This window comes from Homo sapiens, chromosome 15, assembly GCF_000001405.40.
Source record: "Homo sapiens chromosome 15, GRCh38.p14 Primary Assembly".
NCBI classification, from domain to species: domain Eukaryota; kingdom Metazoa; phylum Chordata; class Mammalia; order Primates; family Hominidae; genus Homo; species Homo sapiens.
In genome coordinates this window covers 81,641,944-81,665,568 of record NC_000015.10, presented here as the reverse complement: position 1 = coordinate 81,665,568, position 23,625 = coordinate 81,641,944, and the positions used below count along the sequence as shown (strand labels likewise).

Below are 23,625 nucleotides of genomic sequence, written 5' to 3'. Positions count from 1 at the left end.
TGCAAAAGGTCAACCGATTTTGCTTTTCTTGTGACTTATTGTACACAGGGAGGGATAAATACTGTGTGCTTAGAGTTTTAAAATAGTTCCCATATGCAAAGTGGGATAAAAATAGCTCTCACCTTACAGGGTTGTTTTGCAGAAAAAATGGAATGATGAATATGAATTTGCTCATTATAATGTATAACTTCGGTTATTATTATGGAAGATACCCGATGATTATAATTACCAATTAGACAAGAGTTTTTGGCAGAATGTTTTTCTGGGTGATAGTCATGATGTAATATATTTTAAGTATGTTTAATTGGTTCATGTTTCTTTCTGTCCTTACTTAGGCTGTGCACTTCCATAGAATGAGAAGGTCAGATTTACTCCTCAGTCTCAGCACTGAGCACAACGCTGTGGCTGGATAAATATACACACACACACACACACACACATATATATATATATATATATATATATATATATATATATATATATATGATAAAATCACTTTGTTTTTAAGGGATAAAATATTTATGATTTATGTGTTTGCTTGTGCTTTCCTTTACTGACATTTTGAAATCACAAAGGACTTGCAATTCAAAATGGCTGTCAGAATAAACGCATGCTGAACATTCAGTATTCCCCATAATAACAGCACAAGTAGATACAAACAAAATAAACCATCCATCCCTATGCTGGAAAATAAGACAAGGCTTCCTTAGTGGTTAAGAAAATGTAAGGATTCCTGAAAGGGGGAAGGCACATGGGATCGGATTGGAGAAGGAAACTTAGGCTTAGCAGGGAGCAGCTGTTGAGAAAGCTGGGAATGGCTCTAGAGATGCTGCAAGCCTGGGTGCAGATATCAGAGGAGCAGTGAGGGGACTAGTCCAGGGCAATCATCAGGGAGCCCGCACCACAGAAGAGCAGGATACGTTGTCTGTCTCCTGTGTTTCACCATATTCACCACCCAGTTGGTAACTCTAGGAGAAATGAGAAGACCCTGTACCCAAAAAAGTTGTACTGGAAGTACATCCCACATGTATAGGGTCCAAATAACACTTCAGACATGCACAGATTTAGAAAGTTAACCATCTACAAGTCCTCCCTGAATGGATTATGAAAGGGTGAACTTCAGTAAAGCAAAAATAATATTTGGAACATATTATGATACTTGTTTCAAAATGAAACATATTGGCTGGGCGGGGTGGCTCACGCCTGTAACCCCAGCACTTTGGGAGGCAGAGGCGGGCCTCAGGAACACCTGAGGTCAGGAGTTCCAGACCAGCCTGGCCAACATGGTGAAACCTCATCTCTACTAAAAATACAAAAATTAGCCAGGCTTGGTGGCATGTGCCTGTAATCCCAGCCACTCGGGAGGCTGAAGCAGGAGAACCTCTTGAACCCGGGAGATGGAGGCTGCAGAGAGCCGAGATCACCCACTGCACTCCAGCCTGTGCGACAGAGTGAGACTCCATCTCACAAAAAAAAAGACATTATTCTCATGAAAACAGTCATGACAGTCATGAACAAGTAGTCCTATTTGTACAAAATGAAATACAAATGACTAATAAATAGGTAAAAAGATATTCAACTTCACCAATAACAAAGGAATGTAAGTTAGAAAAAAAGAAATGTAATTTTCACTCATCAGAGTAACAAACTTTTATCATATCAAATATTGATGATGTTGTAAAGAAATGAATACTCTTTTTTACAGCTTAGTAGTATTCCATGGTATACGTATATTCTGTATTTTCTTTATCCACTCATTGGTTGATGGGCACTTAGGTTGATTCCATATCTTTGCAATTGTGAATTGTGCTGTGATAAATATACACTGTTTTTGTAAGTATAAATTTTTGCAGCTATTTACAGTACAATTTTGGCAGTGTCTATTAGAGTGAAAAATAATGTCTCCTCTGACTCAGCAATTCATTTCTGTTTCTACCTTAAGGATGCACTTGCATGTGCCCTGTATGAAAGTACAAGCATGTTAACTGCAGCAGTGTTAGTTACAGGCAAAATTGGAAATGAACATCAAAACTGGGATAAGAGCACCATGGTAAATCTGGACTATGTAGTACTTGCAAAAGATGCAGATAAGCCTACGTGTACCAATGTGGAAAGGTCTGTGAAACATATTGTTCACTGCAAAAAATAACAATTCCAAAAAAAGAAGTATAGATAAAAAAATTTGGGTATAAAATCAACCCACATACAAAATATAGATCTTTGTATAGTTGCATACCTCTCTACATGTTTGTATATGTTTTACATACGTATCTATCTCTATCTATCATCTATCTCTCTCTCTCTCTATCTATCTATCTCTCTATCATCTATCTATCTATCTATCTATCAAGAGATTGATTTCAATTCAAAGTAAAGTAACAGTATATTTGGATGCAGAGCAAACATAAGAGTGGCCTCCTCTACAAAAGGGACTCAAGATAGAAATCTGAAAAGCACAGAAAACTACAAAGGTAAAAATAAACAACTATATTCCTATGGTACCTTCTTTTAGCATTTTTCTCTATATCCTTCCAGCCATTTTTCTATATAGGTATAGGGCAAGTTGGAAGTCTTGATCTGCAGCAAAGGACCTTATTTTAGAGGCAAAAAATATATTAGTGTTAGTGAATAGATGTAGAAGAAATTGAAATCTGTGAACTCTGAGAATTCAGGGGACGATGTACCGATCACTGACACCTTGGGGAGAAACAGACAATGGGGAGATAAACTGTGAAATGTGCCCATTGCTGGAACTTGAAGAGTGGATGAGGAGTTTGATGGAATGGTATGGAGGGGCCAAATGCCACTGAATCACTCAGGCACCCTCCTCCCCCAGTCACCTTAATCATGCCCTGTTTATACAAACAATAGCACAATGAGAAAAATGTAGATACAACTGGAGGAACCCACCCAGGAAAAGTGTTTGGTAGAGTTTTGCAGAAGATAGGATAAGATCTAGAGGAGAAGAATTGGAATTATAAATACAGTGGTTAATTCTAGGCTCTACATGTGTGGGAATTTGGGCCAATTTTGCTTTTATATTTCCCAGGGGAAAAATGTCTGTTTCAACTATATTTTCAAATTTATTATTATAAAGTTTTTCATAGTGTTAATATCTTCTTGAAATTTTCAAACATCATACTTATCCACGTGTCAGGATTTTTTGGTTTTTAATGTTATTTGTTTCTTATCCTTCTTGATCCTATTTGCCTAGGGTTTATCTGTTTTATGAGTCATTTCAAAGAACAAGTTTTGGTTTTGCTGATTAACTCATTTCTGGGGAGGGAAAATGTTTTTCATTAATTACAGTTTCTAGCTTATATTTTGTTCTTTCGAATTTCGTTGGGTTTATTTTCTTCCATTTCCCTGTCCACTAATGGGATTTTGGATTTCCTCTTCTCTGCATTGCCTGTACATTGCCTGGAGGCAGCAACGCATATGGCTAATAAAACATATTGAGGATGAATGAGAAAACAACCTGGTTCCTGGAAGGAGAGAAACAAGGTGGAGTCTTCTCACAGAAACAAGGAGAAGGTCAGAGAGACCTCCGGGAGCATCTCATCTTGGAGGTAGCTGTTTGCATGAGGGCAGTGCTTGTCCTGAGATGCTAGTTTCGCAGAGTGGTGTTCACAAGGGAAATAAGCTAGGTCATTACCGTCTACCCTTACACCAGGAAGAGGAAAACATTTCAGGCTTATATACCAAGGCTTTCCTGCCCCTAAGCTGTCCAGAGTTGCCTTAGTATTGATTATCTTAACTTAATTATTATAAAGTTTGCTGGTAATGCTTTTGTATTAAGAGTAAAAGATAACCTTGAGAGCTGCAAACATGAGCCCAGCGATCCAGGAGATCAAGTTAATAATTCTGGATATCAAGAGATCCACGATTAGTCAATTCCAACCTGTTTTCCTTTGATGCCTTAATCAAGGTTTAGTTATAGTTAACCTACTTTCAAAATGCTTACTTCCACCCTCCCTCCAAGAATCACCCTGAGCATTTCCTCCACTCTCTAAGTTTAGGAATTTAGGACTTTCCCCCAAGAAAGGCACTGTAGAGAACAAACATATGACATCTCAAAGACACTTCGCCATTTCAAATAGGAAAGAAAAATTTGCATCCAAACAGGCCAAATATTGCACTCACTGTTAATGTAATCATTTTTCTGACTTTGAATTCCTTTTCCCAAGTGACTAAACAACGTCTTTATTCTAACCTTTCGGCACTAGGCAGTTTTTCTCCTGCTTTAGTTTCCTCTACAACCTCCGGAAGAGTTTTCCTCAGCCCTGTTACCTGTTTCGTCCATCATTCTGTTGCTCACTGGATTGGTTTTTACATTAGTGTGTTTTGACAGCACACAATGGTTTCCTCAGTTACACAACAGACTCAGTGCCAATAAACTTTTTTTTAGGTAATGTAAAGCATATTTGAGCACAAGAATGATTGCATTTTCATGGCTAAAAATAAACAGTTGTTTTTAATTTTCCATGAGAATGCTGGCTCTTAGCACAAGGGGCCACCTTCTACCTGGTGAACTCTTTATGCCAAAGTCATCACTACGTGGCTAGAAATGTGAAATTCAAGTTTTCCTTATGTAACATAAAGGGAAAAGCCCATAGGCAAATCTCTCTTTAATTCCATCGTATCACTGCTCATGCACAGTGCTTTTAAAACAGACTATAACAAACATACCCTAACAGAGAAACAAGTCCTACCCTAGCTAATTTACATAAAAAGACTATCTTTATTTTTATAGTAACAAAAAAAGCTAGGATTATCTCATTTAATCCTTATACCATCATTATGAAGTGGGTAATGTTATACTTACAAAAGGAAGTTAATCATTTCTTATTTTCCACAGACACCACAAGCTCAAGAGGCTGCATTAGCGTTTTTTATTGGAGGCATTTTCTTTTCCTCCAGATTTTGTTTTTGACTGTTAAGGTCATAGCTACAAACAATTGATCAAGCCTAAAAGGGCATTTATAAACCACCTGCATCTACATTTTTTTCTTACTGTGGATGGATTTAAAAAGCCGTTTCAAGATGAAATCTTATGAGTCATTATCATGTCTTCTGAGGGCTGAGATATAACTTTGAAGTAGAGCCCAAACATGAAGATCATGAAGATGGCTTCTTCTCCAAATGATGTTATCTTAAAAACTTGAAAAAGACAAAAAAAAAAAAAAAAAAAAAGAAGAAGAAAAAGAAAAAAGAAAGAAAAAAAGAGAGAGCGAGCCAAGGGAACTTGAATCAGACAAACCTGGTTCAAAGTGATTATTCAACAAATGTAAGCTGTTATCATCTTGTCCTCCATCATTCAAATATGTCCTGTATAGATCTTCCATTAATTTCAAATATCTAATGATCTACACCATCAAATATTATGAAGGTGATGTTTAGCAGGTCATTGGCTAAGACAGGCTCTACCTCAGTCTCTAATAGAGAAGGAAAGACAAGTAGCATTTACTAACACCCACAGTATGCTTCATATTGTTGCCAGAAATTTCAAATGCACCATCTATTGATGCATGGAATCCTTTCAACATTCTTAGAAGGTGAGTGTTATCTTAACTTTTCATTTTAGGAAAATGAAGCTGAGAGTGGTTAAGTATCTTGCTTAAGGTAATATTCATACCATGGGGAGGATCATTATAGTTGACCAGTTAAATACGTGAATTGAAGGTAATATCACAGATCCCTGCTACTCAAAATGTGGTCCACTGACCAGCATCGCTGGCATTACCTGGGAGCTTGTTAGAAATGCAGCGCCTCAGGCGTCACCCTGTCCCTACGGAAGCAGAAGCTGCATTTTTCACGTGGATCTCCTGGCGATTTCTGCGAACATTTACTGCTGTTATAGAAGAGACCCAAGCACCCATATCCACTACCTCTGTCATTTTACCAGTGAGGAAATACATTAAAAAGCATAATCACTTTATGAGCAAATAAATGTTAACTTTTTCAAGTATAAAATATCAAAACTCATCATTTCAAGGCCGCAAGCCAGTTTTTTTTTTTTCAAAATTTGGTAGAGTTTCCAAAATAAGCAGAGCCAATAAGAACTAGCAAGTAACAAGATGAAAATATAAAGGTCATGAGGCCAAAGAAGGAGCCTTTATTCAGAGGTATCAGTGGCTTTTAAATGCAAACTAAAATTGGGAGTTAAAAGGGCTCTTACTGACTTACCCAAATGAGATACATTAATAGTTAACACTGATTGAACATTTAATATGATATGTATTACCTCATTTAATCCCCACAATGACCCTGTGAATGAGTACTGGTATTGTTATTATTATCTGTTTTAGCAGTTAGGATATCAACTATCCTATGAAAGGATTATCAAAGAACTATCAAAATCACAGAGCTGGGAAGTTACCGAATTGGGGCTGGAATCCCAGGCTTCCTATCCCAGGGCTGAGCTCATCCCCATAGTGTTATTCTGTCTCATAACATAGGAGACATATTTAGGGAAAGCAGCCACCCAAAAGTAAGATAGAACACAAGGGACCTGTAAGCAACTCCTTCACTGAAATGAGCCTGGGAGTGTGAAGAGCAGAGGATGGAGAGCCTTGCTTCTGAAGGCCTTGGTCACACCCTCACACTGTTCAAAGTGGAAGAGATTCATTAACTTTTATCATTATATAAGATACTACTTATTTCTTTAAATCTCACCTCAACCCCCAAAACTGAAAGTTAGCAGGAGAACACTTTTGGCCAATAAGAAAACAGAAAATAAAATTAAAATGGTAGATTCAGTTTCCTGCAATACCTCAGTTTCATGCAAAGACAGTGGCTCTGTGAAACTCATAATAAAACTTTTAAACATCCCAGAAATATCTTTAAAAACATAAATTTTACTGTTTATCTTTCCTTTTATAAAATGGTACATGTTCATTATGGAAATTTTTAAAAAAGACAAAATTATGCCAAAAAAAATGAGAAATCCTTTATATTCATGCAACCGACAGAAACCAATTAGTATGTTGTTATACTGCCTTTCAAATTTATTTCTATAGAGTTTTATTTTTGCATATTTTGGTTTGTAGTCATATTACACATAAAATTTTGTACCCAATTTTTCCCATTAACTTTATGTGTTTGGCATTTACCTCTTATTATAAACCCTGCATGACAGCTCATTTAAAAGTGAGTTAGTAATCGCTTGAGCAGACATATGGCAACTTAAGCAATTTTTATCCCATTGATGAGATTTGTAGGTTGTTTCTAATTTTTCCCCTTTGTAAAGAGTTCAGTGAACTTTTTGGCTCAAATATTTTTGATTATATATCAGCTTGTTTGGATAGATGTTATTTCAAATGATACAATTATTTGATGCATTTGCCAAATATCTTTCTAAAATAATAATTTGGAAGCTCAGAGCACTATGCTCTCCCAATAATTCTATAATAAATTTATCAAAGCCACAATTTTCATCAAGATAGCTCTGCATGTAGATTGACTAATTACTGTTGTTTCCTTATCAGTGGTTCTACAGTTCAGCTCTTTATGAAGATGTGACGGTTAATGAGAAACTGATTAAGTTTGTATCTGTGGATTAGATAGCAGCAAGACTCTAGATATTTGGTCCTGAATAAAATAAGGATGCGTTTCGTTTGCATTTGCTGATATTTGTTTAGCTTGCCTTGTATGTTAAGATTTTCCTAATTCATTAGTAAGAAAGATTTCACACATACACACACTCTTCATTATAGAAATTTGCAATAAAAATCCCAAGGAGTCCCTCCATTTCATTTATTGCTATTTTATCTTAATTTTATTATAGTTTCCAGAAAAAAAAATTTAATTTCATAAAATAGAGGTTAAATGAGAAACATTCTTTCAAAAGCCAGTTACTGGCAGCCCCCTAATTTTTGCCACTACTTCTTTAGCCTTTGCAACTCTTTAAAAAAATACAAGGAATGCAAGTTTATTGTAAAATAACAAAAATATTAATAAATGAGTAGAAGCAATCCATGATATTATAATTCAGAAATAAATAGCTAAAATTGTACTGTATAAATTCCAGGTATTTTTATGAGTACCTAATTATATGTTTGATTTTTAAGTATAACCATTCTCTATATATTTTTTGACAGCTTTCTTCACTTAAGAGTATGTAGTCAGGAAAATATATCAATGCACATAAGTATGTTTTGTAATATAATGAGTACATAATACAATATATAGACATCCCACTATTCATTTTATCCATTGTCTATTGTTGGACAGAAATTATGCATTTTTTATTTACTTGTAACTTTGCATTAAGTGGCTTTATTCCTAAATTTTTGCTACATGCTGAATTATTTTCTCAGACAAAATTCCTTGAAATATAAATACTGTGTCAAAGAGGAACCATATTTAAAAAAATCAACAATAATATTTAAATATCCAATATCTTTTAACTGTAGAAAATTAGCAAATAGAAATAACCAAATGAAAAAATATTGAAAACAATAATAATAATTCTACCACGTGCACATAACCATGTCTGGGTTAGTGCTTTTTTCCCTGTATCTTTTCTATTTAGCTTTACGTAAATATGTTTAATATAATTTTTCTTATATATTAATCTCTCTATACATTTCATATATATATATATGTATGTATATCTACCCACAAAAAAGGCATTTTTAACAGGCTTACCACATACTGGATAATTGTAAATACTTATTGAATTAATGAATAAATGAATAAAAATAGGATAATTTTGTAGATGCTAGATTATAACCTAATATTTTTACTTAAAATATCTTTGGCATCTATTCATGTTAATAGTTGTCACCCACAACATTTCAATAATGATTTAATGGAATTTATAATGTACAAATAAGCCATCTCGGAAATAACAGAACAATTAAGACAAAGCATACCAACGCCAAATTTATTGGAAAATTTAGAGCACTAACTGTATTTATTGTAAAATAAAAAGGAATTAAAATAATTGAAATCAGTACTCCACACAAGAAGTCAGAGAATGCATAATTAAATCAATACTTGAAGAAAGGAGCAAGGAATTAATAGCAACATAGACTTTAATAAACTGGAAAACCAACTAATTTAGAGTGTACACACACAAGAGCTAGATCTTTGAAAAACAAAACAAAAGAATCAACTCCCCCCAAAAAATAGAATAATCAGAAGAACACGACCATTCTGAGTTCTGAGTTCTAACATAAAAACCTTAATTAAATACAAATACACCTTAAGAAGGTGGCTATAACCCAAGATGCAAATGGGATTACAAAATCATAAGAGACTACCATATGGAAATCTATGCTAATAGACTTGATGATTTTGGTGAAGCATATGACTTTCAAGGGAGTTATGAGTTAAAATTTATTTATGAGCAAGAAAAAAAACTGAATAGACCAATGACTTTGAAAATTTTAAAAACCCATCCATAAAAACCCTAGAAGAAAACCTAGGCATTACCATTCAGGACATAGGCATGGGCAAGGACTTCATGTCCAAAACACCAAAAGCAATGGCAACAAAAGACAAAATTGACAAATGGGATCTAATTAAACTAAAGAGCTTCTGCACAGCAAAAGAAACTACCATCAGAGTGAACAGGCAACCTACAGAATGGGAGAAAATTTTCGCAACCTACTCATCTGACAAAGGGCTAATATCCAGAATCTACAATGAACTCAAACAAATTTACAAGAAAAAAACAAACAACCCCATCAAAAAGTGGGCGAAGGACATGAACAGACACTTCTCAAAAGAAGACATTTATGCAGCCAAAAAACACATGAAAAAATGCTCATCATCACTGGCCATCAGAGAAATGCAAATCAAAACCACAATGAGATACCATCTCACACCAGTTAGAATGGCAATCATTAAAAAGTCAGGAAACAACAGGTGCTGGAGAGGAAGTGGAGAAATAGGAACACTTTTACACTGTTGGTGGGACTGTAAACTAGTTCAACCATTGTGGAAGTCAGTGTGGCGATTCCTCAGGGATCTAGAACTAGAAATACCATTTGACCCAGCCATCCCATTACTGGGTATATACCCAAAGGACTATAAATCATGCTGCTATAAAGACACATGCACACGTATGTTTATTGAGGCATTATTCACAATAGCAAAGACTTGGAACCAACCCAAATGTCCAACAATGACAGACTGGATTAAGAAAATGTGGCACATATACACCATGGAATACTATGCAGCCATAAAAAATGATGCGTTCATGTCCTCTGTAGGGACATGAATGAAATTGGAAATCATCATTCTCAGTAAACTATCGCAAGAACAAAAAACCAAACACCGCATATTCTCACTCATAGGTGGGAATTGAACAATGAGATCACATGGACACAGGAAGGGGAATATCACACTCTGGGGACTGTGGTGGGGTGGGGGGAGGGGGGAGGGATAGCATTGGGAGATATACCTAATGCTAGATGACGAGTTAGTGGGTGCAGCGCACCAGCATGGCACATGTATACATATGTAACTAACCCGCACAATGTGCACATGTACCCTAAAACTTAAAGTATATAAAAAAAAAAAAGACTGACAAAATTAGGTGAAATAAAGCATATAAGGTGTTTAGCACACAAAAAAAATAAAAATAAAAACCCATCATATAACTAACTCTTAGGAAAAAAAACAGCCAGACAGTCTCATAGGTGCAATGTTTCAACTCTTCAAAGAATGAATGATTTTTCTAATATCTAAACTCTTGCAGAGAATAGGAAAGTAAGCGTCATCATTTTGTGCAGCTAGCACTAGTGTCATAGAGAAATCTGACAAAGATAACCCAAAGGTAAGAACCACAGACCCGTTTAATTTATGAAAGTAAATACACAAACTATAGATAAAATTACTTGCATTGAAACACTAAATTAGAATAATACATGATAACCAATTATATTTTATTACATGATTTTAAAGAGGATTCTACATTGTGAAATATATTAAACACTGGCTATGCATTATCGTCATTATTATTTTGCAATAGTCTGGAAATAACAATAGTGCTATGATACTGAGAGATCCTAGATTTAACTGGAAACTTTTTCTTAATTCTCTTGTCACAGAATCTTGAGATCTCACATGGAGAAGTCAAGATTATTTGAATGAGTTCTCTGGGTTCAAAAATGTCTCAACTAGGGGTAAAGTTATCAGTAGCACATGTATTATAAGCTAACTTGATAATTCTTACGTTGTTTATCATGTAATCTGTGTTTTGATAGTGATGAAGAATATTCATTGCACTTCATTAAGAGAGAATATTTTTGTTTCTCTTCAATAATTGTTCAAAAAAATTTGAGGCAAGTTTTGCTTCTTATAATGGTGAGAAAACTTTTTTAGACTAACTATACCCCTCCTCACTGAGAGGTGAAGCCAGACTTCTGGGCCGGGTGGGGACTTAGAGAACTTTTCTGTCTTACAAGAGGATTGTAAAATGCACCAATCAGCACTCTGTAGCTAGGATTGTAAAATGCATCAATCAGTGCTCTGTGGCTAACTAGAGGTTTGTAAAGTACGCCAGTCAGTGCTCTGTAAAAACGCACCAATCAGTGCTCTATGGCTAGCTAGAGGTTTGTAAAATGGACCAATCAGCACTCTGTAAAATGGACCAATCAGCGCTCTGTAAAATGGACCAATCAGTGCTCTGTAAAATGGACCAATCAGCAGGACATGGTGGAGACAAATAAGAGAATAAAAGCTGGCATCCCAGCGAGCAGCAACAACCCCCTTGGGTCTCCTTCCACGCTGTGGAAGCTTTGTTCTTTCACTCTTGACAATAAATCTTGCTGCTCCTCACTCTGGGTCCATGCCACCTTTAAGAGCTGTAACATTTCACTGCGAAGGTCCGCAGCTTCATTCTCGAAGTCAGCAAGACCAAGAACCCACCGGAAGGAACCGACTCTGGACACACTGCCACAGATAACAATTACAAGCTCTGGACATAATATTTCTTAAAAACCAATTATTTGAAGATATTGGAGCGTGACAAAATGTGGAAAGAAACAAGAAGATTGAACTCTTGAAATAAGTGAACCACACTCCCTCGATGAGACCATTTTTAGATTACTTTTCCCCTGAGGTACTTTCCAGTTCATGTGACATCTCAAACAGTATTATTAGCATGTGGTGTCAAGAGATGAAGTTGGTGCTGCCAGAGTGGCTGAAATATAAAGAGGGGAATCCTAGAATGAAGACAGCCTCAGAGGAAGTCCCCAGATTAGCTTATAGACACCCTTTAATCCTTGGCCAATCCCAAATTGCACAAGCACAGGGGAGACTTCAGGGGGCTCACCAACAACAGCTGGGGGCTGAAAGAACTGTGCAGGAACTTTACCTACTGCCTACCACAGGAGATCCAGTTTGGAGTTTGTGGCCTGTCAAAAGTTGAGAGGTTTACCAAACGACTTGGGCTTTCCATACACCTGTTCAGCAAGGTGAAACACCAAAACTCCTCAAGTTACAGTGATTTGACAGTAGTTTACCTGCCAGAAAAATAACCAACACTTTATGGAGGAAGATATAGAAATCAAAATCTCTGTATCATCCACAATGTCCAGTATTAATATAAATATGGAAAGAAAAAATGAAGCGTAGACTCATAATCAAAAAATAAAGCAGTCACCATAAGTTGACTTGAGATCATTCAGATGTTGGAATCAGCTCACAAAATATTTTGAAGCAGCTGTTTTAAATGTATTAAGGAATTTTGATTGGGAGTAAATTGAACATATATATCAATATTAGTGTTACAGGATCTTTGGTTGTCATTTTTCTGGCTGAAAAACTTTGCAGCCAGTGGTGCCTCTGCCTGAGTTTTGCTCAGGCCCCCTGGGTTCATTTTGCCCACAGCCTCGCAGGCTGTGCTTGGCTCATGCTACCGACCTGGGTCCTGAGCCTGCCATGGGCAAGTCAGGCACGAAATGGTGAGAGGTGTGCAAGTGAGCATGGGGTCCGGCCACTGCCCACAGTCAGATATACTGGCTGCTGCAGTGGGGCAGGCAGCTCCAGGTGCCAGGGCAGGCAGCTCCAGGTGCCAGCACAGGCACCAGCTCTCTGCAAGGCTGTGGCCAGACCAGGTGCACCACAAGCGGCTTCCACAGCTGGCACTGGGGAACACAGTGGCATCCAGAAGCTTGGAGATGCCAGGAACTGCAAGGCCCCAAAGAGGGAGTCATGGTCTTGGCACAGGGAACTCCCAGGTATGGGCTCCCCAAAGGGCCACAGCTCTTACCTCCTTCTCTTCACCTTCAACGTGGCAAGCAGGGGGCATGTTTCAGCCCTGTTGGTGTTACAGCTTTTTTGGCCCTGCCACTTGATGGGTCTTGAGTTCTTGTCCTGCAACTAGGAAGAATGAGGTATGCAGACAAGTGGTGGGGTGAGCAGGATGAAGAGGAGCTTTATTGAGCAAGAGAATAGGTAAGTCTCCTGCAGGGGGCAGCTCCTTTCCACAGCCAGGGTGTCCTAACGAGTGTTCAGCTCCTAGGAGACCCATGAGTGGTTTGCTGTTTTCTGTAGGCAGGTAATCCCATCATGTCTGCAGCTCTCAGCAGACGGGGGGTCCTGGAGTGGGTTGCTCCTCTCTGCAGGCAGGTCATTCCATAATCTCTGCAGCTCTCAGCAGAGAGGAGGCCCTGAGGTGGGTAGCTCCTTTCTGCAGCAGGTCATCCTGACATTGCCCAGCTCTGGCTGAGCCTGGGGCTTTTATGGGCCTAAGAGGGGAGGAAGTGCATGCCAGTTGGTCCATGGGTGGCCATGAGTGGGCCCAGAAAAGGTACCACAAGTTCCCACTCCAGTCCACGGGACTGGCAGCCTGGCCCCCAGCCTTCAGGCCCTCCCTGGCCTGAAGGTGGGGCTTCTCTGGGGACTTGCCCCCTTCTGCCCAGGAGCCTGTTTGCCTCTCACTGATGTTCATGGTGCCCAGGCTGTTCATGCCAAGAGGTGTCTGCAGGCCAGGGCTGAGTTGCCCTCAGTCCCCCCTTGGCTTCCCTTCCATGCTCATCAGTGCCCAAAGTCCAGAGGGGGTGAGGCAGCAGGGGACTGGTGTGTCAGCACTGCCTTGAGCGTGCACACACCTGGTCAGGCTGTGACAGCCCCCAGGCTCAGCCCAGCCTTTGCTCTAAGATCAGAGCAAGCACTGACAGCAGGAAGAAGCCAGGCAGTGGAAGCAGGCACTTGCAAGCCTGTGAGGATAGGGGAGGCCTTCATGGGCCTCCAAAGTGCAGGAATGCCTGGGTCCACAGCCACAGTTTGGGTGGCTGCAGCTGTGACTGGGAGGGTAGGGCTCCTGCCTGCTCCCAGGCCCCAAGAGCACAAGGATGCCCAGGTCCACAGCCATGGCTTGGGCAGCTGCAGCAGCACCCTGAGAGCTTCCACCCCAAGTCAGAAAGGGCAGGGATCATGCTTGTCCCTGGCTCCTGCTTGTCCCTGGCTCCTGCTTGTCCCTGGCTCCTGCCAGCTCCACGGAGTGTGTAGTCCTGGCTGCACCTCCCTGCTGCAGTCAGCATGATGGCAGTGGCCACTCCAGATGGCCCACCACTGCCATCATTTCACATCTATAAATATGGCAAATTTTTCAATTTATTTCCGTATGAGCTCATGGCTTTCAATAGAGACACATAGAAATATATTTATATATACATACCAACAACATACACGCATATGTATGTATACATTCTTAAGCTCTGTCCATTGAAAAGGCTTAGAAGCAATGACATATGAGAAGCAATGGGCAAGCTAGCACTAAACTTTGGTTTCTAAATATTATTCTCTGTGATAAGGGGCTAGTTTGAGAAAAGGCTGATTCCAGATCTGGGCAAGAAAATTTCATAATGAGCCTAAAATATGGTATTGTGACAAAAAGCAAAGAACTACTCAAAGTATTATGAGGATATTTAAAAAGGACATAGCAACTAGCTTGAAGGAGTCCCTACTTCCCAAGTCTGGCAATTTGAGAATCAAAACAAAGAATGAAAATAATGTATTTTAACTCATTCAATTAAATAAGAATCCATGATTATATATATATGTATGCATATATATATAGATATAGATATGTATGCATATATAGATAGATATAGATATACACACACACACACACACACACACACACACACACACACACACACAGACAGAGAGGGAGAGGGAGAGAGAAAGAGAAAAATGGAGAATAACCTGCTACAGTGAAAACAATGAAAGGAAGAGTTGTCTCTGCAGGGGAGACAGGCTGGGAAGAGACACGGAGGAGCTTCCTGGGCTGATGGAAGTGTCTATATATTGAATATAGAATAAGAACTAATAAATATAGAAGGAATGATGTCAGAAAATCATCAATGATGCAAAATGTTATAGATGAAAACATGATAATGAACAGAATATTTACAAAGACATTTCTTATTTATCACAAAGGGAAAATTAGTAACTTTATAGTGGAGAAATCTGGAAGATATCAGTTAACATCAATATTGGGACAAGTGACAGTGTGTATCTCCTGGTATGATATACCAGTGAGGACACAACATAACTTCCATAATATTCCTGTCAAAAATAAATAATGTGAATCCAATCATGATAAAACATCACACAAACCCAAACGGAGAGATATTTATAAAATAACTGATCTGTGCTCTTAAAAAAAAAAGGTCACTCATCAAAGCATTCAAAAACATAAATTAGGGAAAGGACACCCTATTCAATAAATGATGCTGGGAAAACTGGCTAGTCACATGCAGAAGAATGAAACTGGATCCCTATCTCTTACCCTATTCAAAATTTAACCTAAGATGGATTAAAGACTTTAAGACCTGAAATCATAAAAATTCTAGAAGAAAACCTAGGAAAAACTGTCCTAGACATTGGCCTAGGCAAAGAATTTATGACTAAGATCCCAAAAGCAAATGAACAAAAATAAAAATAAATAAATGGGATCTAATTAAACTAAAAAGCTTCTGCACAACAAAAGAAATAATCATTAGAGTAAAGACAACTACAGAATGAGAGAAAATATTTGCAAATTATGCATCTGACAAAGGACTAATATCTAGAATTGACAAGGAACTCAAACAGGTAAGCAAGAAAAAACTAATCCCATTAAAAAGTGGGCAAAGGATATGAACAGACATTTCTCAAAAGAAGATATTCAAATGGCCAACAAACATGAAAAAATGTTCAACATCACTCATCATCAGGGAAATGCACATTAAAGCCATAATGAAATACCACCTTACCCCAGCCAAAATGGTCATTAATAAAATGTCAAAAAACAGTTGATGCTTGTGTGGATGTGGTGGAAAAGGAATGCTTATACATTGCTGGTGGGAATGTAAATTAGTACAACCTCTATAGAAAACAATATGGAGATTTCTCAAATAACTAAAAGTAGATCTACCATTCAATCCAGCAATCCTGCTTCTAGGTATCTACCCAAAGGAAAAGAATTCATTATATAAAAAGATGCCTGCATGTATATGTTTATTGCAGAACAATTCACAAATGCAAAGATATGGAATCAACCCAAGTGTCCATCAACTGATGAGTGGATAAAAAAAATGTGGTATATGTATACTGTGGAATACCACACAGCTATAAAAAAGAATGAAATAATGTCTTCTGCAGCAACTTGAATGAAACAGAAGGCCATTATACTAAGTGAAGCAACTCAGGAATAGAAAACCAAATACCACATGTTCTTGCTTATAAGTGGAAGCTAAGCTATAAGTGCACAAAGGCATACAGAGTGGTATAATGGACATTGGAGACTCAGAAGAAGGAAGGGTGGGAGTGGGGTGAGGGATGAAAAACTACCTATCGAGTGCAATGTACATTACTTGAGTTATGGGTGCACTAAAATCCTAGACTTCACCACTACACGATTGATCTGTGTAACCAAAAACCATCTGTTTTCTTAAAACTATTGAAATTTAAAAGAAGAAAAGAAAATGCCACCCATGAAAGACAAAGATTGAGGAAATGTTCCAGCTGAGAGAAGACGCATGCAAGTAAATGCAATTTGTGACCTTGGATAAGATCCTGGATGTGGAAAATAAAAAAGTTATAAAGGACATTATTGAAACAATTGATAAAACCGCCCTGTGGACTTTGTATTAGAAAATGACGTTATATCATTATTAAATTTCTTGGTTTTAATAAATGTTCTCTAGCAAAGTATTGTTCTTCAGAGTTACCAAAATTTAACCAATTTACTAATGGTTTCAAAGAATAGTATGTAGATATAGATATGGGTATATATTAGATAGATAGATAATAGATAGGAAGTTAGATATAATGAAAAAGCAATAGAGTAAAATGTAAACTATTGATGAATCCGAGTAAAGGGTGTACATGAATGTTTTGCACTATTTTTTGCAACTTTTCTGTAACTTTCAAATTTATCGAATTTAAAAGTTATAAAATTTGGCACAAAGACTGTGGGCAACTGGAGTTTTAAAATACATTTAAACATATACCTCCTCTATGGCCCAGGGTTTCCACCCTTAGATATTTTCCTAAGAGAAATGAAAACATGCTCATCGTTTTGAACGTATTTTCAAATAATGACAACAGGCATCCTAAAGAGTTATCCAGAAATATTTACTGCAGCTATATTTATAATAATAAAAAATTTGTAAACAACCCAAATGTTCACCAACAGAAGAATGAATTAAAAAATTTGATATAGTTATACAATAGAACACTACTTGGCAATAAAAAGGAATGAACTAATATGTGAGACAATCTGGTCGAATCTCAGAAACAGTATATTTAAAAAGTAAGCCAAAACCAAAAACGACATACCATATGATTCCATTTATATGAAATAGTAAAACAGGCAAAATTAATCTGTAGTGGTAGACATTAGAACAGTGGTTGCCTATTTGTGGAAGAACTTTCTGGCATGATGGAAATGTTCTATTTTTTTTCATTGTGGTGGTCACATGAATATATGTAACTCATAGAATTATATAATTAATATCTGTGCATTTTGATAGGTGTAAATGATACCTCAGTTTTAGAAAGTAATCTGGAAGTGTAGCATTTTCCATATTTGGGAAATATTGCAGATAATGACAACAGGCATCCTAAATTCATTATACATTCTTAAGATATTACCAGACAAGTCTAGCCTCTGAATTTTTTACTTACATCGAGATTTCAAAGAGTTTCTAATTCCCAAGATTGAAGATGATCCCCTGAGCACTAATAGGAAAGAAAAAGGAAAAATTGTAGTAATTTGACATTATTCCTGGAAAATAAACAAAAAATCCATTGAAAACTTGTTAACAACAGTGACAATTAAGGAAGCCAGTTACAAAATGATATTTTAAGAAAGTAATAGATTTTTCTATAAAATAGAAGCTATCAAGATATGAGGGAAAAAAATACATATGCCAAAATATAAAATATTTAGCAATAAATTTAAAGGAAATATATAGAATGTATTTGAAAAAAACTATTGAACTCTACTAACAGGCATAAAAGAATAGAGAAACAGACAATGTTCCTAGATAAAAAGAATCACTATGGTAAAAATGCCAATTCTCCCTAAATTAACATAGAAAGTACCTTCCTAATCAAGATCTCAATATGATTGTTCTTTGACCTTCACACGATTATTATCTGTATCCCTAAAGGTACAATGAACCTGTTACCAGACTATTATAGACCAAGAGCAAAATAGAAATTCCAGAAACAGTTCTAACTAGATATTTGGATTCAGAATATAATTTTGCTCTTTCAAAAAGTGCAAAGCGGATAAAGGATAGGGCTTTCCAGTATATATTGTTGGAACAACTGGCTATTTAAGAAGAAAATAATAAATTGAGATTCCTACAGTCTACCCTGCCATAAAATAAATTCCAGAATGGCTGAAAGTAAAAGGTAAAGCTATAAAAGCATCAAAAGAATAGTTGAATATTTATACAATTTTAGACTATAGCAAAAACCATATCAAAAACAGAAATAATGTTTTCTGACATAACTGAACATTGATAGATTTGAATATATAAAAATTATATTTCCATAGGTTTAAAAATACAATTAAGTGCAAAAAACAAACAAACTGGAAACAATTCACGACATCTATACTAGACAAAATACATTAATGTCTTTAATATATAAAAATATTTTCCAAACCAAAGAGATTCACGCATCTCAAACCTGGTTTCTCAACCTGGACACTATTGACACTTTGGGCCAGATAATTCTTTGGTTTGTGGGGCTATCCTGTGCATTTTAGCAGCATCCTTGGCTTCTATCTGCTAGCTGCCAGGAGCATCCCTTCATCGTGACGAGCAAAAATATCTCCAGACATTGCCAAATGTCCCCCAAGAAGACAAAATCACTCCTAGTTGAGAACCAGTGGTCTAGAAAGAAACATTCATATTTTTTCTCTGCAAGGTGGGACTGGCAGGATGGGGGCCTGGGGGAGGTAGATTTAAAAAATGGATATCTCAGTCTGTCTTCTAAGTTTATATAAGCCTTACAATTCTGCGGGTGTTAATGTAGTTCCATTAATTGTAATAACTAATATTTAATTGGTTCTTGCCCCCTCTCATTCAGACAAGACCTCCACCCTCTGCAAAACATCTTCCCAGGATTATGGGAAGTGCCCAAGATGTGGTCACGGGTGTACCACAGCCAGTTGGCTTCTGTGGTACTCTGCCGCTGCGCCTGCCTCCACTTCTGTGGTTCATCCCCAACTCCCATGGAAGTTGGAGCACTTTCACGGAACCCTGCGGTTCTTTCCAACATGCAGCAGCCACCAGCCACAGTCACCTGCAACCACAAATCAGCAAAGCCCCACAGCCCCGAATCTCCACTGAGGTTTGTAATGAAGTGGGACTTCAAGTTTAAGTCTTTCTCCGAGGCTATTACGGCCTGCCAGTAGGGGCTCTCCATGTGCACTGCTCAAACCATTATGCTCTATAACTGTTTTCAGTGTAAGGCTCTTTACGCTTTGTTAGTAATCTCTTGCTCTCCGGAGCCCAGAGAGTGACAGATTCGTAACAGACCCCTGTTCACTCCTCGTTGCCTCTCCCCTGTGCTGAGAGGGCTTCTCATTGGCTCAGGTGCATCCCCTGTGCTGCTTCTCCCCTCAGGATGCCCTCTTCATCTAGAGGTTTCTCCAGGGAACCTGCCTGGCTCACTCACCTAACAAGCTAAGAAATGTCTGAACCGTCTTTAAATTCAAGCCAGGAGCCTAGAAGTAGTCCTAGGGAAAACGAAACAAAACAAAACAAAACAAAACAAAACCAACAAACAAACAAACACGACTGGAAAGAAATACATGGAGAAGTTAACAGGAGGGCTCCTTGGAGAGATGGTTAATTCTGGGGCTGGCCTGGGAAGGATGAGATGAGGCTGAAGCACCTTGCTGTGCCGGAACATCAGGACGTGCTCAAAAAGTGATGAGGCCAGGGCCTGATGGAAGAGGCTCCCAGCAACCAAACCTGCCAAGGTTTGAGCACCAAAAAAACAGCAACAGTGATTCTATAACCCATGAGAATAAAAGAATCAGTCCATGATGACATAGGTAAGTAAATAAAGAGAAATACATAGAAAGCTTCTTTTTACAGTAGAATTTCAACTAATAAATATCCAAGAGATGATGGGGAAAATGTTGAAGTGGTTTATCACATAGATGAGACCATGGATTTTTTTTCTTTTTTCTGATCACCCTTTCTAATTATTTTTATTTTTTTGCAATGAATAATTGCTTGTATAATAAAAATGCAAAAAGTCACCTGCAGTAGATCGCCTGTGAAGTTATATTCTTATTGTATCTCTCATGAGCGACATTTGTCTCCTACTTTTATGCTAATGAATTTTTGATAGGCCCTATCTTGCATTTCTTTTTCCTATTTACGTATTTTAGAAAGAGGACAGCACAGGTGCTTCCCAGCAGGGCCACCCTGCACAAAGGCACCCAGTAGGCTGCAGAGTGAGGCTGAAAGTTAACCCCTGATCTTTGCGTTAAACTGTGACGACTGGTGCACGGTTGCATCTGCCCATAAGGCCACTGTTTCCTAACTCACACATGATTCTGTCCTAGCTGCTGTGTCCTTCAAAATAGTCTGTGTGGGTTTACCTGGTTGCTGCTAGAATTCTTCTTTTTGATCTCAAGGTCAAAGCCTGGTGGCATGAACAGCATTACCTGTTCAGCCGTGCGTCACTAAAGGTGTGAGGAGGTTGAGATCAAGAGCAGTCTAGTTAGGAAGTGTCATCTCTTCAAGTTTCCTCCCCTGAGTTTGTTGAACTTGCAGGGCATGAGGTCACCTTCCTCATCTGATTTTCCCATTCTCTATTCCAAATACATGGCATGGCTGTGGCCAGATTCTTGCCACTCTAGGAGGTGAGTGGAAGGATGTCCAGTTGCTTTAGGAAACTGTTCTTCCATCACTGAGAAGCCAGGCCAGCTCACAATTTATGTTTCATGAGGATTACTTGTTCTTTCAGAAGTCACTGACAAATGTTGGTCCCTACTGGCAATGAGGTAGCTCTGCATCTTTTCTCAGAACCACTCTGACAGGTAACTCTTGCCTCTCTCTAATTCAGAGATGTTGGTGAAATACTCCTCTGCTCCGTTTACTCTGCATCACTTTCTAGGAAAGAAAAGTGATGAGTCAGCTCTTGACACTGTGCCTTCAGTGTGATCCCCCTACATTCTAGAAAACAGCAATGCCTCAAAGCTGATTCTCAACGCTGCTACAGGCTTTTTCTCTATTTGGGGTTTCTATTGATTCTTTCCGTCATTATCTTTCCTAAAAGGGCAGCGTATAAAGGGGAATAGTTGCACAAAGGGGTATTTTAAGAATAATTCGCCTTTAGGTGTGTGCTTCCAGAAGACACTGGTGGAGAAACTACTTCTGTGGGAGAAAAAGTACAGTGGCCTCTAGGGTGAGAACTCAAGGTGTCAGCAGCACCTACATAAAGCAAGACACCAGCCATGTGCCACCACACTGCCACCAGGAGACAGGTCCTGCTTGTGTTGATCCCTGGTGACATGACCAGAACCAAAACAAACGAACAAACAAACAAACAAACAACCTTAAAGTAGGTAAAGATCTTGAAGGTGGCAAAATGATGCCAATCCAAGAAGAAACCAATTCCTAATGTGAAATGGATACACTGACCCTGCCAACCAAGGGCATTGTCTTTCCCAGTTTGAACAAAACCACAATCCATTAACTCCAGTATTGATGATTTTCTTCTATTCTAGGCCCTGAGCTCTTTTTGGGTCAACTGCAGCTGCAACTCTAGAGCGACAATAAGGATGTGTTTGAGGTGCTGAGGGAGGAGGAGGATGGAGTGAGAAGGTGACAACATTCAGCCAGGTGCCCCCAAAACATGGAGGCAAGAGAAAGAGAATTTGTCCAAGTGCAAGGTCTGCAGGCAGTGCAGGGCAGCTACCAGCAGGGCCCATTTTTATGGGATTGTGAAAGGTGATTCTGGAAAGGCAGGCAGCAGCTACAACATGAAAGATCTTTGGACTGTGTCTGTATATGATAAGAAGTCAAAGAAGTATCTTTAAAACAAGAGGAGCAAAGAGAGCTCATCCTGGTAACAGATGGAGGGTTAGGCTTGCCTAAGTTTACAGAAGTAGGTAATGACAGGGCTAAGAGAGAACTCAGCTCATTTTAATTCCATATTGCTTATCTTTCTCTTGTGCTTTGCAGTGTGTGTGTGTATGTGTGTGTGTGCGTGTGTGTAGGGAGGAGGGGTGAGATTGGCAAAAGTTGAGCCAGATTATACTGATTAATTAGTTCAACACCCATTTTGCTGAGAGCATACCGTGCCCACAGTGCTGAGTTGAGCAAACTTAAGAGGTGATATGAAAGGAGCAAAAGTGCTTAAAAATCTGGGAAAGGGTATCCATCCCTGGTGCATTGGTTTTGATTATTCCTCAGCTATATAAACATCCAAAGAGATGACCTCATATATTCCACAGGCATGACCGAAGATTATGGCACAGATGTTCTGAAATAAACAATGTTAGTGCAAGCACATAGCTGCACAGTCCTGTAATGGTCCCGAGAAGAGCTTAGACCATTTTTTTAAAAAACATAAACCACAAGTTAAGGCTAAATCAGAAAGAAAATAGAAACCTTTCTTCATCTGCTCTGTTCTTGGTTTCATGTTTTATAGATGGCCTGGGAAGCCCTCTGCACGCCTTTCTCAACTAAGGAATTTGTGGAAGTAGAATTTCTTCTGTTGACAGAATTCTGCTGAGAACTGAATTTTCTGCTGTTTTCATTACTCTTTTCTAAATGTTTCACAGTTCTGTTTTTTTTACAGCCAGATTTCCATTTGATACTGGTTGTGGTTACACTAAAAGTAACATCTATGGCCAAATGGCTGGAAATTTTACATTTTTGACACCGAGATTTTTCCTGTACTTCACGGAGGGCAAGGGTTATACCCTATTTTTTCCCAGTCTCCCACAGTGCCCAACCCAGACGACCGTACATAATAAGCGCTTTATTCTCAGCACTGCTGTATGCCTCATTGGAACAGGATGCCCAAGGTGATGGCTGCAGAAATGGATGGATTGGAGCGTGACTTGCCAAGACAGGTACGACCCCAGCCTGGACTTGTTTCATTCCGAAATAAAATCAGGAAGGGAGTCTCAGTTCTGAC

The 23,625-nt window shown here is 38.3% G+C and overlaps 1 long non-coding RNA gene across 6 annotated transcripts in view, besides 2 other annotated features; it reads left to right on the top strand.

Annotated features, from left to right (window-relative positions):
* Nucleotides 1-507: 507 nt before the first annotated feature.
* Nucleotides 508-23,625, top strand: part of LOC102723985 (uncharacterized) — a 50,131-nt gene continuing 27,013 nt past the window's right edge. For 2 of the 6 annotated variants that reach the window (XR_007064737.1, XR_007064736.1), the window contains exons 1-2: nt 520-20,521; nt 23,134-23,560. This is a non-coding gene — a long non-coding RNA (uncharacterized LOC102723985). Of the gene's footprint in view, nt 23,561-23,625 lie in introns of all 6 variants that reach the window. The other 4 variants (XR_007064735.1, XR_001751636.2, XR_007064738.1 and 1 more) reach the window with 4 other exon arrangements.
* Nucleotides 13,030-13,530: an enhancer, noted in NCBI's record as "H3K4me1 hESC enhancer chr15:81944380-81944880 (GRCh37/hg19 assembly coordinates)". NCBI's record gives its function as "activates a minimal SCP1, AML or CMV promoter by ChIP-STARR-seq in primed H9 embryonic stem cells {active_cell/tissue: H9 hESC(primed)}" and the evidence as "EXISTENCE:reporter gene assay evidence [ECO:0000049][PMID:30033119]".
* Nucleotides 13,591-14,091: an enhancer, noted in NCBI's record as "H3K4me1 hESC enhancer chr15:81943819-81944319 (GRCh37/hg19 assembly coordinates)". NCBI's record gives its function as "activates a minimal SCP1, AML or CMV promoter by ChIP-STARR-seq in naive H9 embryonic stem cells {active_cell/tissue: H9 hESC(naive)}" and the evidence as "EXISTENCE:reporter gene assay evidence [ECO:0000049][PMID:30033119]".